This window comes from Homo sapiens, chromosome 6, assembly GCF_000001405.40.
Source record: "Homo sapiens chromosome 6, GRCh38.p14 Primary Assembly".
NCBI classification, from domain to species: Eukaryota; Metazoa; Chordata; class Mammalia; order Primates; family Hominidae; genus Homo; species Homo sapiens.
The window spans coordinates 46,283,573-46,298,927 of NC_000006.12; the positions used below are offsets into that span (position 1 = coordinate 46,283,573).

Genomic DNA, 15,355 nt, shown 5'->3' on the forward strand with positions numbered 1-15,355 from the left:
GATTTTCTGACTTCCCTCCCTAGGTATCTGTGCAGCCTTGCTCAAGATACTTTCTCTTTGTCCTCAATATTCAGGACTGCCTTGATGGTGGGTTGTCATCAACATAATCCTTTGGATATAATTTGAACACATCAGTTTCCCAAAGGCCTGGTTAACTGAGATATTAGAATACTTTCCCATTTTATTATGAGGTTTTAAAATAACTCTTTACTACTGCAATTAAATATAAGTATGAATATTACAAACTCATCACACTGATTTAAAATGAAGAGAAGCAAAATGAGCTTTCCTCGTGGTAGAAGTAGTAGAATTTTTAAGTACTGAGCAAAGTCCTACTGTGTGCTTGGATTTTTAACACTCCACAAACCTTTCCAAAGACCTAGTTGCTGAATCTAGGTGGCAGTTGGTTAGATTGCAGGTGCCAGATGGTTTAGAAAAATTGGGAAATGTGACTTGTATGAATTTTAAAAATTATATTCTCGTAAATTTGGCTTATAACATCAGAGAATACTTGATAATTTTTTTTTAATAAATGAGAAATAGCTTGAACAGTTGCCCTAAAGGATAAAGCGATAGAGTTAATGTGGGCAGAAAATTTGTACCTTCTCATTGCAAAATATGGTGAAAGGTTAAGAACTCAAATAACAATTTAGTTGAAAGGCCTTAGAGCCTAAAGGTGGCTCTTAGGTTGGAGTAAGGATATTTAGTCTCGGCAGAGTGGGCATCACTATTCCACTCTGTGACTCCAGGGATGTGGGGGTGTAATTGCAAAGCTGGTGAATGATCCAGCCCAGTGAGGCCACTCCAATGTTTCTGCTGTCCCAGAAGGGGGAGATAATGTCATGACTATCTAGAAGGGAATGACTTGCAAACATGAACTCCAAAATGGTAAAAGGAAGAAAAATCACTAATTTTAATAAAACCCAATAGACCAGAATGTGTAGTTTGCAGGAGCTCCCCAGGTGACTCAGCTCATTTGTTAAGATTTTGGTACTGCTGCAGCAAAGGAGAAACTGACATTTGCATCATGACTATTCCTAAGTGGTCCTCAAGCTTTTCTGCTGAGGGGGGAGCCTGAGACACAAGTGAGAACAGGCTGGTGCCCGAGTGAGTCACTGTGATGGAGTGCTGGCCGCATGGCATCCACAGCCTATATCATTTCAGGGCCAGCTACTCCTGCCTACTGTATTCCTGCAGCTCTGTCTCTGAAAAGCTGACACAGTTCCTTTTTCCTGTAGTTTATTTTGGGAAAAGCAGTATATTACTGCAATCTTCATGAATTATGGGATATGGGAAAGTATTAAATACTCAACTGTTAAGATGCCTGTTGAGACATCCGTTCTCCATAAAAACAGCACTGATTCTTTCAACCTTCATTAATTGTTCTCTTATCTACTTCCACTGAAATCAGATTCTGTACCACACAGGTAGCATTTGATTATACACTATCTATATATACCATCTATTTGTTGATCTATACATGTTTGCTTTGCTTTCTCAAATATTAGTTCACTAATAATTTCAGGTCATAATTTCTTTACACCTAGAAATGCACACACACACATACCCTAAAACCTTATTGAATCTCTAGTTATGTGTGTGTATGCGTAAAATTATGCAACATGTAATGTTCACCACCATTGCACCATTAATGATAACATGTGATGCTTAATCAAATGGATGTTTAAAAATATAAATCAATTTTGGGCTCCACCCTATTTCCAGAGATGGAGCCTGGGACTCTGGATTTTACACAATTGCTCTAGGTGATCTTATGCAAGTGGTCCAACATTACATTTTGAGAAACACTGCTCTAGGCTCTGGGCCTGGCACAGTTCTCTGGTAATGTAAGAATTACCTGGAGAGCTGTTAGCAATGGCAATTGCAAAGTCGCAAATAAAGAGGTTCTAATCGAGGGGTTCTGGGATGAGGCCCAGATGCAGGTGATACATGGGTCAGTTTGAGAAAGACCTCTCTAGTAGGTGACCAACAAGCATTTCTTGGTAAGTTCTTCTAGTTGCTTGAAGGTAAGTACATCCTGAATTTGACTATGAAAATGTCTTCCCTACCTACTTTTCCTTTATTTCTTTTTTTGGTATTGAATCATTTTATTTTTCTACCAGATCTTTGCTATTATTGGGTATTATCTTTTAAAAGAGTTTTTATTCTTGTCTAATGTTACTGGAATCTTTTTTCAATTTTAATTTTAAGTTCTAGGGTGCATGTGTAGGATGTGCAGATTTGTTACATAGGCCTACTTTTTCTAGAGGCAGCTCAAGAGTTAGACAGACTGGACTTCTGGTTATGCCATTTACACAGATGTTAGGTAAGGAGCCCATTCTTTGGGTCACTGTTTTTGAAGCTGTAAAATGGTATATTTATGATTACCTTGCATGGTTATTGTGAGAATTAAAGATGAGCTGCATGAAGCTCCTGGCCAATAGAATATTATTAATATGTAGCAGCTGTTGTAAACAGGTATTGTAAAATTAAGTTTAGCCTAAAGTTGCCTCCTTACATATTTGAAGTGTGGCCTAAAGGTTTCTCCATGCATAGTGAACTGTAACCTAACTGAATGTATAAACAGACTATAAACTCCAGTCAGCGAGTTTGTGCCAAAGGCCTCCAACTGTTCAAACTGTTCGAATAAGGCAAATGCTGACCTATACCCAATCTGGCTGTTTCTGCACCTCACTAGCATTTTCTGTTTGTCATTTTCTTTTTTCTCTCCATAAATCCTTTTTGACTACATGGCGGTGGCAATTTGCAAATTGTTCTTTGCTTCATTAAACTCTTAAATTTAATTTGTCTAAGGTTTTTCTTTTCACACTATTATATATCATGCATCTCTTCTCATTCCCTAAAAGTAAGGATATAAAATTTCCCACAAATGTACTATCTTTACACAATTATGCTGATTTCTAAGGACAGATAGCAGAAATATATGAGAAAGGAGAAGTGAAAGGCATCAAATTCTGTTTTGGCCAGAATAAAGATGGACTATCCAGGCTGGGGTGGGAGGATTGGCATGATTCTTGAGAAGGTAAAGACATGTACAGAACTTCTGGGAAGCTAGAGAATATTCCAACAGTTTCTCTCTGTGGACTGAAGAACAGACATGCCCAGGCAGTTAGAAAGAGCACTTCAAGGCCGGGAGTGGTGGCTCACGCCTGTAATCCCAGCACTTTGGGAGGCCGAGGCAGGTGGATCACCTGAGGTCAGGAGTTTGAGACGAACCTGACCAACATGGAAAAACCCCATCTCTACTAAAAATACAAAAAAGTTAGCTGGGTGTGGTGGCACACGCCCGTAATCCCAGCTACTCGGGAGGCTGAGGCAGGAGAATTGCTTGAACCTGGGAGGTGGAGGTTGCGGTGAGCCGAGATCGCGCCGTTGTACTCTAGCCTGGGCAACAAGAGTGAAACTCTATCTCAAAAAAAAAAAAGAAAGAAAGAGCACTTCAATACCCAACCAGGCAAAGAAACCTCACTCACTGTGGTTATCTAGGAAGTGACTGGCAGAGCCTGCTATCATGCCATGGTGGAGAATGGGAAGAGGTCCTTCAGGTAGGCACAAAACTTTGCCTGAAACGGAGGCTAACAGATGAGAACACACCTAGCACACCAAGGCCTTTGACTTGTTCACAGAGTGACTCTACAGGTGGCAGGGCTGAGTGACCACACCTCTGATGGCATTGTGGCAGAAATGGATTTTTGTTTAGACTTTCAAAGGAGAACTTGGTCTCCACTTTCTGTTCAGTTATACAAACACTTACGTAGCCCAGTTCTGGACACTGTGCTGGGCACTTTGTGAAGGAAGATGGATCACACAGGCCCCTGCCTGGAAGGGTTTAATGTTTACACAAACCTTCTCTTTTTCCCTCTGTGCTACCCCCCACTTCCCAAAATACACACACGTCTTCCACTCTTAGATTACTTGTACATTTCACTAAACGAATTTCTCTGTCCTGTGATATCATTAGCAGAAGCATGACTTCCATTATGGGTCCCTTTTCATTGAACTTCATCTGATTGAATTTTAGACTCTAAACTTTTCACAGAAGTAGAATATTCATGATCTTTAAGTATACACACATTTAATAGGCTTTCATTGTCATAGATTTAACCTCTTTAGAGAAGATTCAAAGCCAAATTGTGAGGTTTTCCTCAGGGTCTGGCTTGGAGCTTCTTTTTATAGGTGTTCTGGAAAGAGTATGGGATTCCTGGAAGAGGCCGTGGGTGCTGTGAGCAAATAGCTGTTCTTAAATCTCACTTTCCTTATCTGTAAGATGGTGATGATATCAGCTTTCCTACCTCACTGGGTTAGTACACTAATTTGAAAAGTTACTCATATGAAAGTGCTGTAAACGACAAAGAATAATACGACCCGAGGATATTAATGTCTATCCTTCCCTGCACCCAAACCCCCACTCTCTTTTCTTCTTGCAGGGAGGGGAGAGGGTTTTGCTCTTATTCATCCAATGAATATATTCCTGAGCGTTCTTCCTAATTAAGGACTTAAATAAGAACACAGTCAAGCTTTCAGTAGCAGACTCCCTCTTTTTGCTGTCAGAAGTTCTCACGTTGCAGCAACAGGCAGCTGGGCCAGAGAGGACCTGCACAAACGATAGAAGGCTGTTGGGAAGACCTAATAAAAACCAGTCAACTAAAATTAAACCATTAAAAGAAACAAGTAACCATAGCAGTAACTTTTGGAGAGTAGACCAGCTTTCTTGGCTCTGAGGCTTATTCTCTCATGCGGGATCCTTCCCGTTAAGGAATCCCAGGCACCAGCAAGTAAGGTGTGATGTGAATGGGAATACTGGCTTTAACTCTGGCTGGCTGCCCCAGCTGCCCATTTTAAAGCAGATCTTGAGTTCACCCACCTTCAATATTCCCTCTATGGATACCCTCTGAGGATTCTAATAGAGGGGAGAATCCTCAACCTATGGATGATTTGAGGCTAAACAGACTAGTAACTATTGTTCCCCTCCTATCTAAACATATTCAAAAAGTTATCTGCATTTCTGAAGAAATAGAGAAGCAGAAATGAGGAGTGAAGGAAAGTTTCTCAAAATCCTGATCCCGTTATTTATTCCTCCATTTCCTCTTTCATCCCCGAAGTATAACTTTTGGCCTAGGAAGGCAACCTATTGCCTTGGGCAGGATGCCCTTAGCTTTGTCTCTTTCTGTATCCCAGTTCTAATGACATAGCCAAGTTATCCTCTGATTGATGCCTGTCAACTTGCTAGACTGAAAGTTCCATGAGGTCAGAAGCTGTGTCACTATATCCACAGTGCCTAGTACAACACCCAACAGGGAGCAAACTCAATAAATAAGTATGATGTAAATGCAACATCAAGCTCGGGCTAGTTAATTTCCTTCCTTCCCTTTCTGCAATTCTACAGTTTCTTAAAACACACATGTGAGACTTGCCTATTTAAAGCAGAACTATTTCTGTCATGGGGCTACATATGCGGGAAGCTGGCCATTCTGTGGGGCTGACGGGTGGCTGCAGATGCATCAGCTATGACTGACAGAGCTAGTTTAACAGGGAGCACAGGGCAACACCTCAGATTCAAAAACTGGGTCTGATGCCAACTTCCTTCCTCTCCTACATGGACCTTCATCACTTGTCTAGTGGAGATAATAACCAACTTCACTATTTTTTCCCCCCAGGCCTGGGTCTCTGGATGAGAACACAGCCTATGGTGAACTGCAACGAACTAGAAAGAGTATTCTTTTATTGAGGCAAAGAGTTGGGTTGTGAGAATCTTAAGTTGTTAAGCCTAATACTGGTTGGGAAGCCCAAGAGGAAACATAAGATGTCCTTTTTATACTGTAGACCCTATGGAATGCCTAAGTAAATAAATCATCAGTTTGTTTCCAGATTCATCTGTTATAAGGAGAAAAAAGATATTTTATCTTCATGTTATTTATGTGCTAATGTAGAGAGTGGGCTGAATATGAGGACAATGGGTATCACGCAGATACTTCTTCACAGACAGTATGTAAGATGACAGCTCCTCATTCCCACCAAGCATCTAAGTTTAGGAAGAGTAGAAAAATAGTGAAATGGGGAATCATTTAAGGGCAATTTGCAAATAAAAATAAAATTCTTATAAATCTATATTAAGGTAACTAACTTTAAAAGTATCTGTGAAAGGCATTGCTAATTATGGATGACACCCTGCATCAATTCTTCCTTTGAGTAATAGGACCCTCACCTCAAGTTTTACCAGGGAACACAGCTGCTCATCTAGAGACTACATTTTCCAGCCTCCTTTGCAGTTAGGTATTACCATAGTACTAAGTTTGTGCCACTGAAATGCAAGTGGAAGTGACACATGAAACTTCTCAATCTCCTTGTTAAAGATTGTCCTCTACTTCATGTTTTTCATTCCCCAAGGTTGGGAAATAGAGACAAGTGAAGCAGCCAACTTGGACCCGCAAGTGGGACCAAGTATGGAGCATGGCAGGGCTTGCTTCCAGGATCCCTGAATGACACTGTGGGGCAAAGCTACCGACCCTCCATGGACTGCCAGCTACCTCTGAACAGTGATGCAGAAAAAAAAAAATGCATCTTAGGTAAGGTGCTGCATCTGTAGGTGTCTTTCTGCAGTGACTCAGCCTGTGCCCCAATACAGGATTTTATCCATTTGGTACTCTAAGAATATGCAGGAAAAACATAGAAAATCATGAACTAATGTAAATTAGAAAATAAATCCTAATTTTGTAGGTGGAATCAACAACTGCTATATCTTGTGTATTAAACAATAAACAACATCATAAAACAGGGATGAGATATTAAATGATGAGAAAAAGAGAATACAGAAAACATAATTGGGATGAAATTTGCAGGAGGCCACTTTGTCTATTCTTAGTTTATTGTTCTGTTCAGTGATAAATGGAAGCCTGCAGCATTTGAACTTTATTTGAACTCTTTCTCCCTCTCTCAAAATAGTCATAGTCACCCTTATATTTTCAATGAATTATTGTTCCAGGATAATCTTAAATATCAGTAAATCATTGTGCCTAAAATCATAAAGAAAAATAAACCAAATGGAACAAAGTCTATCTTGAAAATTCAGAAAAAGCATAGAAGGAAATGAATCATTAGAACAGTATTAATATGGTGCTGTCAAGTTAATTGGTACTAGCCAAAGATATATGACTAAAACCGTGAAGACGGAAGCCTGAAAGAATTATATTTCCTACAGTCAACTTATGTACACAGAAATATAGTAGCAAGATCAGGATAATAGGATTTAAGTAAAATGACTTTGAGGAAATTACAACATTTATTGGTAGAATTTGGAAGTCTAATTGAAACTCATGGGAAATAGTAAAATTGATACTACACTCACTCCTCACAATCCCTGACATGAAAGCTCATGGGTCAATACAGCCAGGACTGGCCCACAAAGTGCAGCCCATTACCAGCAGGCCAGTCATGACCTTCACCTAATAGGTAAGCCACAGTTTCATGAGCAGCAGGAGTTAAAAGTTTAGAAGCAAAGAGTACTTTGCCAAGGTCTAGGAAAGGGTAGAAGAGGACAAGGGGAAGCTTCCGTGATGAAATAAGAAATTTAATCACTGTGTTTCTAAGAGGTCTTTTATTTATATCTTAAAAACTCAACCACAGAGTCAGGGGGAAAAAAAGCTGAATCCAGCTGAACTGAAAGAATTTAAATGTTAATTCGCCAGTGTTTTTTTTTTTTTTCCACTGGTGTTATTTTTGCTTTTTAAATGAAAGCAAGAAGAGTGAGAGGAAGGGAAAGACAGGTAGGGGGAAGTGAGGAGAAGGTATGATGCTGAGTGACAAGTGTGTGAAGGGAGGCAGCTGTGGAGTGCCACCGAGTCCCAGCGGTGGGAACCAAGTTTGCCTACAATGCTAGTGGAATCAGGTGACTTCACCCTCAGGGATTTCCCCCTCCAGGCACTGCAGGGCTTTGATTGGAAGCTCAGAGTGGAGAGTGCTTTAGGAAGGAAAGCAAATGATCATTTAGTGTCTTTTTCTTCCTAACAACAACAACAACAAAATTCATAGAAATATGCCCCTTACATTCTTTTTTTTTTTTTCCCCACAGACAAGATCACCCTTACTTAGGACAAAACATTTCCTAATCACAAACATTCTGTGATTCTGCAGCCTAACTTGGCTAGGACTTCTCTCATCAATGTTTTCTAAGGATACACCTGCCCCTGAAATGCAGTTTTTGTGGTGCCCTATGCATACCTAAGAAGGAACCCATAGTATAAAGTGGCACATGTACTTTCTTGATCCATAGGGAAAGTACGTGGAATTTGAGGTGGTAAATGATGTTTTAAGCAGACAGAACAGCACTGGCGAAGATACAGAGACATGAATGTGCAGACAGTATTCGGCAACCAGCACAAGTAGCTCAGCTTTTTCCAGTAGTTTACTGATGCCTAAAATTTCTTACATTCTGCAATTGGAATTAAAAGCCTTAAAATGCAGATACCCCTTGAAATTGCCTGCTCAGCAAACTTCTTACACTAAATTGTAATTAGTCAGTGGGGCAACTGGTGTAACACCAACCTCAGTTCTTTCTTGTTCAACAGAGAGAGGATACAATGACAGTGCTTGGAAAGCTACCTAGAGGGAAGGGTGTGACAATTGATAAAACTTAGCTAACTCTACTTGAGAGATTAGTTGGCCCCCAAATTAAGCAAGTGGATCCAGTAGATTATAGGCAAGCAATTATTATTTCAACTTTTTAAAAGACAAATGTGTTTAAAAAGTGAAGGTTGGCTTCCCAATATAATTAGTAGATTTGGGGATATTCTTATTATGCTATCCTTTTGCCATATTCTTGGGAGTTGATTTGTTGTTTTTTTTTTTGTTTTTTTTTTTGGTGGGGGGGTTGCCCTAAATTGCACAGCAAAATTTTTCCAATTTCCCTTTTAGAGCTTAATTATTTTAATGTTAGCATATAATTGAACCTCAAATGATCTGCTGAGATTATACAGAAGCATTCTTAAATGTGAAATTACACAGAAGCATTCTTAGGTAATAGAAAAATTTATTTTTCCAAATTAACATGTTTCCTTCTTGTCAAGTAAACTTTTAGATTTATTGACCATCCATCCACTTATCCATTGATCCTGCCATTCTTTTATTTTTATTTATTTATTTTTTTATTATACTTTAAGTTCTGGGATACATGTGCAGAACGTGCAGGTTTGTTACATAGGTATACATGTGCCATGGTGGTTTGCTGCACACATCAACCCGTCATCTACATTAGGTATTTCTCCTAACGCTATCCCTCCCCTAGCCCTCCACCCCCACGACAGGCCTTGGTGTGTGATGTTCCCCTCCCTGTGTCCATGTGTTCTCATTGTTCAACTCCCACTTATGAGTGAGAACATGCAGTGTTTGGTTTTCTGTTCCCATGTTAGTTTGCTTGGAATGATGGTTTCCAGCTTCATCCATGTCCCTGCAAAAGTTATGAACTCATCCTTTTTTAATGGTTGTATAGTATTCCATGGTGTATGTGTACCACATTTTCTTTATCCAGTCTATCACTGATAGGCATTTGGGTTGGTTCCAAGTCTTTGCTATTGTGAATAGTGCTGCAATAAACATACGTGTGCATGTGTCTTTATAGTAGAATGATTTATAATCCTTTGGATATATACCTAGTAATATTCTTAGCATCTTACTGTGTTTTCCTTGGAATTAAGCTGAAAAAACTACATGCTATGATAACTGACCTTATGAATTTATAATTTCTACTTCTTTGTGCATAATAATAAATATTTTTGGAGATTATCAAATTCATGCCAAAGAATTATTTTTCTACAACTTCATGGGTGGGTATAGACATTAGCTATATGGTAGCCACACACTTTATATATAGAAGCTTTAATAGATTAGCAAAAATACTAGAGAGCTCTTTCTACTTGTACATATGAAGGACCAGAACATATTATAATATTCAAATAAGAAATTCAAATTGGGATAAACTTCCAAGGGCAAATGCAGTTATTTTTAGCTGAAGAATGACAGCTTCATTCCTTCTTCCCTCTTTATTGAGTATCTACCATCTGCTGGCCATTAGGCCCTGGGGAAGCAGAAACAAAAAACCTGCCCTTTTTATGAGGAAAGACAATACAGTGTGGTGAGGGGTATGAGAAAGGCTTGCTCAGGTAAGAGCACAGAAAGGGCTAGATAATTTAGGCTAATAGGTCAAAAGTAGCTTCCTCACAAGGGAGGTAACTCTTGAGTGATTTTGAAAGTGAGCAGGAGTTGGCTAGGCAAAACAGAGGTCAGGTGGAGAATAGTAATTTGAGTAGAAAATAGAGCATGTTGCAAAAGCATGAGGCATAAAGAACAAATACTTTTTTTTTGAGAATTGGAAAGACTTCAGAATAGCCTGTACTGTATTTATGTGCATCTTGGAGCAGCAAAGTCAGGTAGTCAAGGGCGTGATGATTGGGGCACCGTGTGCCAAGCTAAGGCATTTCAACCTCATCCTGAGAGTTATAGGGAATGATACAGGATTTTGACAAGGCTTGAATTTCAGAATGACTACTCTGTCATACAAACTAATAATAACAGAATAACCGAAACCTTAACATAAAGACAAACCGACAACATGCATAGATGATTCACGGAATTTAAAAATAGCAAGTAAACATGAAAACATGCTCAACTTCACTTAGAAATTTAATTATTCATTTATTGAATCAGAAAACATATAATTTAAATGTGAACATTCAATTCTAGTTAGTGTGAGACATCCAATCTCATGCATTACAAAGGGAATAATTTGTTATCTCTTTTCTGGAAAGCAATTGGTAAAGTATATCAAAAAATTCAAAAATACTCATATTATTTAACCAAATAATTTCATTTCTAGTAATTGATCTCAAGGAAATAATGAGAGGAAAGAGTTAAAGATTTAAGCACAATTTTTTTTAAATGAACAAACTAAATGTTCAACAATAGAGGAGTGGTTAAATTATGGTTCATCCATTTCATTTTCTAGACTATAGTGTGGTCATTAAAATCATATTTTAAGATAACTTTTAATGATATGGGATAATGCCTTATGTGTTGTGTGAAGAAATCAAGCAATAAAGTGATATATGGAGCATGATCCCAATGATGATTAGAAAAACTATTCATGCATTTCTTTTAAAGCTGGAAGGAAATGTACCAGTATGCTTACCACGGTTATATATTTGCTTTAAGATAATGAAAACTTTTTGTTATGTGTCCAACGCATTGTCCAAGGCTTAAGAAAAATAGTATGAGCACATACCACTTTCACATTTTAACATTTTTAAAAGGAAATATTAATTTATCTGTAATATGAAGGCTGACCTGGAGAGTGACAAAAAATAAAGACAGAAAAACCATATGTAAGGGCAGCTGCAGTAATCAAAAGAGAAAATGTGTGGGTCTGGGCCAACTTAGTGGCAGGAACATAGAAAAGAAAAGAAGGCTTCAAAGGAGAGAAAATCCATACTGCTTGCTAAAGGGGCACAGGAGGAAGGAGGAGTGGGGTGACTTGCAAATTCTTGGTGGATCTTGGGGGAGAAGTTGATCTGAGGTAATGAAGACAGGAAATATCTCCCTCCGCATGCTTTGTTGGCTGTTTCTTGGGAATATGCAAGTGGAGACATCCAGTTAACAGCTCCATTTACAGATCTTGGCCTCATAAGACAGATCTGGGCCTGAGACAGAGACAGAAGCCATCAGCATACATGTGAAACCTGAAGCCACTTTGGTAGGAGAGACATAGAGATGAGCTGATGGCTCAGGACAGAACCTGGGAGACTGGCATTGGAGGGAAGGATGAAGAAAGAGAAGATGAGAATGGAGATGAGTAGTAGCTGGAGAACAGAAGAACACCAGAAAAGAAAAGCCTGACAGAAGCTTAGGAGGATACTTGTGTCAAGAAGTAGAGAGGGGTCACCTGTATCAAAAGTTGAAGAGGGGCCAGAGTAAGAATGCAAAGTGTCTACCAGAGTTGGCAGGAAGCAAAAGCAGTTTTTGAGGCAGGAGATAAAGGCAGGACTGCAGGGAAGCAAGGAGAGATGACAAATCTACTATTTAAAGACCCTGAACACTTAAGAGAAGAAAAAAGACTGAAGGAAACATGGCATCAAAAGAGCATCAGTTGTTAGGATGGAAGAAACCCAAGCAAGTTTGCAAATTGAGAGGTTGGAGCCAGAGGAGAAGAGGGTCAAAGATTCAGAGTTTGAAGATTCAGGAGAGTTGATGGATTTGGGGAAGCAGCAGGAGGGAGGATCTAGACACAAGTGTTCTCTTAGGCCAAAAACAAATTTGTTCTCAATGAAAGTGGAAGGATGGAAGCAAGGAAGTAGGCTATGGAACAGAAATGAGCAAACTTTTTTTTTTTTTTAACAGCAATGTTCATCGATTATAAGGGCACCTTTTATGCAGTGGTTAAGAATGCTGGGGAGTCACACTGCCTGGGATTACAGTCCAATAGCTTCGTGTGTGTGTGTGTGTGTGTGTGTGTGTGTGTGTGTGTCTGTGTGTGTGTGCTGTCTTTGGCCTGCCATGTTGATTTCCCGACTGGGAAAGCTGGTCAGAGCATGTGAATACCCAGTTGCTTGATGGTTATACTTCTCACTGCATGTTAGATGACCTTCTGGTTTACACATGTAGTCCAGAGAGATTGAGCCACTTTTGGAATATTGACAATACCATGTTTCTGAGTCAAAAGAGTGGAGGGTCATTCACTAGATTATAAAGACTTCACCAATGCAATGTCCTTTGAGATACTTCTTGTGACCTTCCCTGGTGACATATTTTGACATCACATATTCCCTTCTGACTTAATTATGTTAGCAGAGTGTAACTGATCCTTATTATGCCCTATCTGACTTTAAAGATACCTAATAAATAGACACTTATGTTTCTCTTTTCTTCCTTAAGGTTACATTTACATAATATATAATTCTTTGTAACTAATTGAATTTCATATTTATACATTTTAAAAATTCAATATGATTTATCTTCCCTATATGTTATTAAAAATTAAATCATTAGGTAGGGAGGAATAGCAGCATGAAATAAAATTATATGATACCCAGAGGCCATCTGGCCCACCATTTAGCTTCTTATTTGTACATACATATTTCTTGAACAAGTGTCTATGATGTTATGGAAATCTCCAGAAGATCAACAACATAAAAAGCTACCAATCCCCTATGACAAGATTCATGAAAACACTGAATCACCTTCTTATGCAATACGTTAAAAAAATCTGTAAATCTCTTCTGCTACCAGTTTCTGCTTTTAATGGAGTAGCCACAATAGGTAGCAAGTCACACAGAGATTTAAAACCAGGCCTTCAAGAGGTCAGGTCCTGTCTCTTTCCATTATACCCAGACACATCCACCAAAAATACTCGAAATTACTTCTTCATTTTCTTTCCTAACAGTACAAACTCTTCTAAAATGTTTTTCCTCACTTCTGAACTCCGCTTCAGAGAACTTTATGATAAAGGCTCCGTACTACTTATAGTGTCCCTTTATCATGTTTCAAGGACCTGATCCTGAACTTGCACAGCTCTGCAGAACTGGCATATTTTCACTGCAGCAGGTACCCCATGGGGCATCCAATTTTGCAAGAAAGAATTTTAGTGCAAAAGGAGGCTCTACAGACACTGATTGGCTCAGCATGGGCTCTGCCAGGCCAGCGAGATGAGAAGATACAGCCTCTTGTCACTTCAGAGGGAATGAAGAAGTGAGGATACTCTCAAAAAGCGAATAATCACAGTAAAGCTTCTTAGTCCTGGTATGGTGAAAGGGTCCTATACCACCAAGCTTTTCCTGAACCTCCAGAGGGTGCAGAAGTGCTAACCCACCTGAATCCTGGGTTCTTACTAAAATGACAACCACTGCACAGTCCGGGTGGGTAGAATAGACACCCCCCGCTTTGCCTAAAGAAAGGAAAGGGGAGGAGAAATGTTAAGAAGAGCCAGGATTTCCCACAAGTAGAGGCACAGAACACATATTTTCTTCAGATTCCATGAAGGACCAAATTAAATTTGAATTTGCCTATATATTCTAAAACATTTATTACTACAGGTCTAAACATTCTGATGGAAATAGGAGTAACACTCTGCAATTCTTTGAGTTGCTAAGAAAGCTCCATTCTTTTCATGTGAACTATTTCCTAAGACAGAGAATTGTGTCACATTTTCAGAATGCTTCCTGCTAAAGTTAGTTCAAATTAAAGTCTAGTTTTCTGTACAAATCACTTGAATATAATTCTTTAAGGCCCAAACGTTTTATAGAGAGAACGAGAAGGAAAAGAACAAATAGTCTGAGGTGAGAACTTCTTTCTAAAGAGGAGAGAAAGTGAGTGAAAATGGAACTGAAACACTTTGAAACAAATTTCACATGCTTAATATTCCACCAAATATCAAACTAGTTTGAAAGCTTTATTTAAGTCCTGGAGATCCAACATGCACCAGAAGGGAGTCGTTAATTTATGTAAATTGCATTACAAAGTCTATTCTATTGCTTAGTGACAAAGTGCCTAACATTAATACTGTGGTTTCTAAAATGCAATTATCTTCTCAGCAGCTTAGAAGGGAAAAATAATACTAAAAATAATTAACTTATAAAAGTACATGTCCTTCAATACTGTGAAATATTTTACATGCCTTTCCAACTCAGCCAAAAGTCACCCGTAGTTGTAAATATGACTGATTTTATGTGAGGTCATAGATGTCACTCAGTGTAGGGCAATATTATGTCAATGCTCAAAATAAAACTAATGTTGGGCTGGGGGTAGTGGTGAGGGCAATATTGAGCAAACCAGGTATCACATTTTGAGAGAACTGCCTTAGGCTTATCCCAATTTATGCTGTATTCTTTGCTAATGGCTCCATTCTTACAATGCGATGTTACCAGTACTTATGCTAAACCAATAATTTTTCAGATTTTGGTAAACCTTAATATTTTTATGGACCTGAAGATTCTCCCTCACTTTGGTAGATACCGTACAAACTAATCAGAGTTGGAGAATCTCTATTTAAAAAATTACCCAACTTAAAACACTTATACTGTTAGTGGGAATGTAATTAGTTCAGCCCCTGTGGAAAGCAGTGTGGAGATTTGTCAAGGAACTTAAAACAGAACTACTATTCAACCCAGCAATCTCACTACTGGGTATAAACCAAAGGAAAATAAGTCATTCTACCAAAAAGACTCATGCACTCATATGTTCATTGCAGCACTATTTGCAATAGCAAAGACACGTAATCAACCAAGATGCCTATCAACAGTGGACTGGATGAAGAAAATGTGCTTTATATACCCCATGGAATACTATGCAGCCA

General features: G+C 38.8%; 1 protein-coding gene and 1 long non-coding RNA gene across 6 annotated transcripts in view; one reads left to right on the forward strand and one right to left on the reverse strand.

The window, feature by feature from the left end:
• RCAN2 (regulator of calcineurin 2) overlaps nt 1-15,355 on the reverse strand; it is a 271,235-nt gene that overhangs the window by 62,837 nt on the left and 193,043 nt on the right. The gene's annotated exons all lie outside the window — the stretch shown is intronic.
• LOC101926915 (uncharacterized) overlaps nt 1-15,355 on the forward strand; it is an 89,185-nt gene that overhangs the window by 7,249 nt on the left and 66,581 nt on the right. Inside the window, exon 2 of the long non-coding RNA NR_125838.1 lies at nt 6,409-6,587. This is a non-coding gene — a long non-coding RNA (uncharacterized LOC101926915). The remainder of the gene's footprint in view (nt 1-6,408; nt 6,588-15,355) is intronic.